This window comes from Homo sapiens, chromosome 18 (genome assembly GCF_000001405.40).
Source record: "Homo sapiens chromosome 18, GRCh38.p14 Primary Assembly".
Classification (NCBI taxonomy): domain Eukaryota; kingdom Metazoa; phylum Chordata; class Mammalia; order Primates; family Hominidae; genus Homo; species Homo sapiens.
Genome location: NC_000018.10, coordinates 77953812 through 77960025, shown reverse-complemented (window position 1 = coordinate 77960025; position 6214 = coordinate 77953812). Strand labels below are relative to the sequence as shown.

Here is a 6214-nt window from a genome sequence, read left to right as displayed (position 1 = left end):
TTTTGTGGATTTACATGATTGGGATAAGATGATCTATAACTGAAAACAAAGCTTAAATATGTCTGGGAAGAAAACAGCAATATACCAGGCTTAAAATGCAATATTACAGGCTGCTTAGCAGCTAAAGAGGGTTTATGCTGAAGAACGGTGGATGTAATTTCTTTGAAAAAATTATAAGCAAAAGGATTGAATTTAATCTAATATCACCGCTAAAGCTTGCTGCAATCGTATGCAGCATTTGGGAGGTACCTAAGGCCAAGAAGATGATCCTGAATTAGCATAGCATACAAATCAGCTTTTCGATTTTTATCAGATTATCGGCATTACTGGCTAATGCTGATGTATTCAGCTACATGCAATAAGCACTCTCGAGCATCATATTTCTTTGGTGTAAAATATCCTCAAAGCACATTTTAATTGTTTTAACAAGATAAAGAGTGCTATTTTTGCATGAATAATATTATCAGTATTCCATTAAATCTCTTCATTTATTATCACTAATGCTACTTAAAAGAGATGTTAATAGAGTAATTCATTCTCATACCATAACCCTGGTCAGGAGTCCATGATGGTTCATATTCATTATGCTGAGCTAAGAGGGGGCTTCTGTTATAATATCACTTAATTTATATTCTGAAAAAATGCTCTGGGGACAAGTTGCTCTCATGCATTAGAGTTCTATCTAAATCACAATATTTGAAGACAAGTGGGGATGGCAGATAGCTACTAAACGGCTCCTCTGTGGACTCTTGGCCCTTCAAGAGACACCAGTGAAAGCACAATCCCAGTGACCTCATCTAAACATACAATTTACCTGTGCAAATTCAGTTTGCATTTGCATGCTACATGTTAAGATTTACACTAAATTTAAAGTACTGGTTACAGGCCATAGCATTTATCAGCCATCTGACCTTCTTCATAACTAGATGATAAAGATATGGCCAACAACTACCTTTGAAAAGTCTGAGCACCTAGTGCCTTTGGCTGTCTCTATCCTTTATCAGAGCATGAGGATGTGTGTGTGTGTGTGTATGCACACGCATGTGCATTAGCATTAGGAAACGCATATGACAAGCAATGCATGCTAAAATGTAGTTCCCGTTCTTTTACAAAAGGAACTCCAAATACACATATAATTCTGTATATCACAATGTAGGCATATGTATAGCACAATTACTAATTTTGAAATGTCAATATATTTTACATCAACTCATTGGATTGGCCATTGTTTTAGTGCCGTATAATACTTTAGAAGTACTTTTAAAATACTTTAAAAAGTGCCTGGAGACATTTAATGAATAATTTAAATTTATAGTCTTCACAAAGCATAACAATGTTGAGACACATGACAAGCACGAATCTTAGTTTCAGAGCTCAAAGGGCCCAGGTAAGTCTCTTTATTTTGCAGAGATGTAATCCACATCCAACAGATTAAATGACAGCAAAATCACTTACCCAAGAAGTCATGTTAGTGAAAATTGATGATAAATGCAAAATAAATACCTTTTCAACTCAATAGGTTTAGTGCGAGATGTCTAGAAAGGAAGAATGATAATAAGGAGCAAAATTCATAGTGATACAGAATGAAGCCCTGAAGTTAGAGCAAGTCCTTTTTTAAAAACTTACTTAAATAGCTTAGGGGATTGGAGGGAGGTGTTGGTGTTGGTGAAGGTGGTGCTGGTGTTGGCAGTGGTGTTGGAGTTGTTGGGGTGATAGTGTTATTGGGGGTGCTGGTGTTGGCAGTGATGTTGGAGTTGTTGGGGTGATAGTGTTATTGGGGGTGCTGGTGTTGGCGGTGGTGTTGGAGTTGTTGGGGTGATAGTGTTTTTGGGGTGCTGGTGGTGGTGGTGTTGGAGTTGTTGGGGTGATAGTGTTATTGGGGGTGCTGGTGTTGGCAGTGGGGTTGGAGTTGTTGAGGTGATAGTGTTATTGGGGGTGCTCGTGGTGGTGGTGTTGGAGTTGTTGGGGTGATAGTGTTATTGGGGGTGCTGGTGTTGGCAGTGGTGTTGGAGTTGTTGGGGTGATAGTGTTATTGGGGGTGCTGCTGGTGGTGGTGGTGTTGGAGTTGTTGGGGTGATAGTGTTATTGGTGGTGCTGGTGTTGGTGGTGGTGTTGGAGTTGTTGGGGTGATAGTGTTATTGGGGGTGCTGGTGGTGGTGGTGTTGGAGTTGTTGGGGTGATAGTGTTTTTGCGGTGCTGGTGTTGGCAGTGGTGTTGGAGTTGTTGGGGTGATAGTGTTTTTGGGGTGCTGGTGTTGGCAGTGGTGTTGGAGTTGTTGGAGTGATAGTGTAATTGGTGGTGCTGGTGTTGGCGGTGGTGTTGGGGTTGTTGGGGTGATAGTGTTATTGGGGCTGCTGGTGTTGGCGTTGGTGTTGGAGTTGTTGTGGTGATAATGTTGTTGGGGGTGCTAGTGTTGGCGGTGGTATTGGAGTTGTTGGGGTGATATTGTTGTTTGGGGGTGCTCGTGGTGGTGGTGTTGGAGTTGGGGTGATAGTGTTATTGGGGGTGCTGGTGTTGGCAGTGGTATTGGAGTTGTTGGGGTGATAGTGTTTTTGGGGTGCTCGTGGTGGTGGTGTTGGAGTTGTTGGGGTGATAGTGTTATTGGTGGTGCTGGTGTTGATGTTGGTATTGTTGGTGATGGTATTAGCAATGGTGGTATTGGTAATGGTGTTGATGTTGGCAGTGGTGGTGGTAGTATTGGTGATGATGGTATTGGTGGTGGTGGTGCTGATGGTAATGGTGAATGTATTGTTTGTGGTGGTGGGGTTTGTAGTGATGGTGTGGGTGGCAGTGGCAGTGGTGTCTTTGGTGTTGGTGGTGGTGGTATTGGTGGTGGTGATGGTGTTGATGGTAATGATGATGGTATTGGTGGTGGTGGTGGTGGTAGTGATGATGGTGGTGGTAGTATTGGTGATGGTGGTACTGGTGGTGGTGGTGATTCTAAAAGATTGGGAAAGGTGAGAAGAAAAGAGCTTTTCCTACTCTTTAAGAAACAAGGTAGTTGAAGCATTGTGGTTTCTGAATTTCCCTGATGGGCATCCTGCCTGTTTCCAGACTACTCCAAGCTTTTCCTGTGGTGTGGGGACCCTGAAGCAAGGAAGAGGTCATCTCTCACTGTTTTTCTTTTTTCTGCATCACCTGTGAGTGAGAGAAAAGTTAGAACATCCAAATCCTCTAAGTTACTGAATATTCTGATTTTTTTTTAAACTACAAATTTGTAATGGACAACAGTAAGAAAGAGAATATATGTTAAAACATAAAATCAAAGGGTAGATTTTCATTGTATGAATCTAAAATTAGTTGTGATAACTGGTATATCTATAACATTAAAAAGCAGTACTTTAAGGCCAATATCTAATCAAGTCTTTTTGGTTTTTTTAAGGATTTAATATACTATTAAGAGCATGAAACTATTAAGAAATTATAAAACCTTTCATATTAAGAATATGTACTCCTCACATCACCTTTTATTTTTATCTTGGTTGCATTTAAGGGATGAGAAAAGTAATTATTTTACTCTTTCTTGGTATTTGAAACAAAATTCTCTGCATTTGAATACCAACGCTGACACTTACTAAAGGAAGGTGCATATTAGTAACCATTTAGAGTCTCAATATTATTATTATAAAAATTGAGGAAAATGCTGTTTTACTTAAAAAGCCAGTGCAAGAGTTCTTGCTAAATAAAACAGCATGTATCTGAATTGTTTATCACAGTACCTAGGACATAGCATTTGCTCAATGAGTACTAATTCCTGTCCCTTTTCTTCATAACGAATCCAAGGAACAGAAACAGGCAGGTCATTTTCCCATAGTCACATGTGAAAGCAAAATAATCTGAACCTAGAGCCTGAGGTTTCTTTCAGCCTGCCTTGGTTTTGAACATTATTATTTTTGCTTTCATTTAAAATAATATAATGAAAATTTGTCAATTGGTTTTAGAGGCAATCATGTCACAACCAGAAGTACACTTGCTTTGGGGAATAAAATTAATGTAACAGTCACTTGTGTTAATGATTCATTTCATTATTTTAAGTTCTATACATTTACTTTAAATTTATTTCTTTGTGATGTTTCAAGTACATTGAAGCTTTTCTGGTAAAAGAAAAGCCAATACTGACACTAAAATTTGAAAAGAGGCTGGCGATCCTCCTCTTTGGATGTAATAACGTGCAGCAACCCAGTGTCCACCCCGCACTGGGGCTGCAGTACGCACAGACTCCCAGGGTTTGGAATATGCAGCATTCTCCGTCTTCATAAGGATTTGGTGAATTGAATTGAATTCAATTGAACGTAGTTTAGAAGGTATTTTATATATTTTATACTGCAGTAGAAATAATGCTGATCTTCACAGAGACAAGCAAATATTACTGTATTGTTACAGTAAGTCGCATTTGCTACTGACACTATAAAATGGAATGTGGATTGGAAATGCTAGCATTAGCAGAAAATGGTCAAGTCATGACTGTCATCATTTGCCATCAATGGGCATAAATCCATATTTGACCAAATTACAATTGATAAGTATCAGTAACACTAAAGATCGAGCACCATTAGGAGGATCAATTTTGATAATTCAGAAAAAAAAAAGCATATCAAGGTCAAAAACAATAACTGATTTTATTAAGTTAGCAGCAATACACTCTCCAGAGGATCAGTGGTGTCTTGGAAATGTTAACTTCCATTTGTCCTGATCATAAGCTTCATAGATGGTAAGAAACGCACAGTGTGCTTGAGAAGAACAATTGTTTAGAAAAATAGAGAGTGCACTTACGCTTAAAAGGCATTTCATAAGTTTGGTGTTTAGTGTTTTCAGATCTATTAAGTCACCCCTTTGGGGACCATTTGAAGATACATGGAAGGGGCGTATGTGAACCTAATGGTGTGGCAGAGAAAGGAAGAAATTGCTCTTTTGGGGGTGGGGAGGTTGACGAGATATATTAACCCTCTCAAGACCCTGGGGCAAGTTCCATCTCTTGATGCTAAAAAGCTTAGGGCCCCAAACTCTTTGCATATATTCCCCAGTTTGATCAGTGACTCGCTTAAATCCACTGTCTTGAAAACTAGTGCTGTTTTTAGGTCTTCGAGTAAGCACCTTTTTCTGTTTTTCCTAAATAACATATAAATAAATATTTCTCTATCTATTTGTGTCCTGCAGACTTTAAGAACGAATGCTTTTATTTTACCCTGTTCTGTTTTCAATACTGTCATTTTAAATGTTCCATCTTCTAATGATGTGCTAATTTTTAAAAATATTTTTCAATGAAGGTATTACTTAGATCAGATAATTTAACGCTTCTCTGATCTCAAAATTTTAAAATATCTGGACACTATAAGGAGGAAAAGCCATCATGAATATAACACCTAGGAAATATTGCTTAGTACTGCTATCCAGCCAGCACAAAAGGCTGGCCAATAACTGGCTTTCTGACCCATGTATCAGCTTGCTGACCACATGTAGCTTTCCTGACTTGTCTTGGCTGAGTTCTGGCTCTATGGCAGCTTTTTCTAGGCGTGATCTTCCTCCTGTTTTATTCGCACTCCATCCTAGAGTTTTTATTCCAGCATCACCATGACTGGTGAGCAGTCAGTGGTCCATGCCACACAGTCGACTGCAGGCACAGGCAACCCTGGGGAGTCCCTGACACCCACACTTTCTTGCCTGTCATGCAACAGAGTTGTTCATATAATCACTAGATGCTGAGCTCCAGGAAGCCAGAGACTTTCCCTGATTCATTCATTTTTTACATGCTTCATCACCCAGCCATTGAGTGTACCATCTTAACTTCTAGTGGGAGGAATACAGGTCACAAAAATGTAAATAAGCACATTATATTCTATATTAGATGGTGAAATATAGTATAAGAGAAATAAGTCAGGGAAGGTTTCTTATATGACTCTACTTTTTAAGGATCTTTATTTGCTTGCTATCGTAGATCTACTTCCTAGTGATGTAATTTTGACCAATTCCTCTGACAGCTACTTTAACTAAAGTAGCAACACATGACTGTAATTAAATTTTAGGTCAGATGGTCTAAGTGGTACTGAAGCACATCTTACTCTTAAGCAGATTTGTTTACGCTGAATTACCTTGATATAAATTTTGCTTGTCAATATAGTTTCATCATCATCTACTAGTCTGACATCATAAAAGACTGCATAGTGTTCTTTTTATACAGTGCCTACATAATAGTTACATAAAGTAATATGCATTC

The 6214-nt window shown here is 38.8% G+C and overlaps 1 annotated feature.

Moving 5' to 3' along the window:
- Window positions 3387–3556: an enhancer, noted in NCBI's record as "experimental_50500 CRE fragment used in MPRA reporter constructs". NCBI's record gives its function as "activates a minimal promoter by MPRAs in K562 erythroleukemia cells, with activity observed for both the introgressed and non-introgressed 18:75668511 variant alleles {active_cell/tissue: K562}" and the evidence as "EXISTENCE:reporter gene assay evidence [ECO:0000049][PMID:34662402]".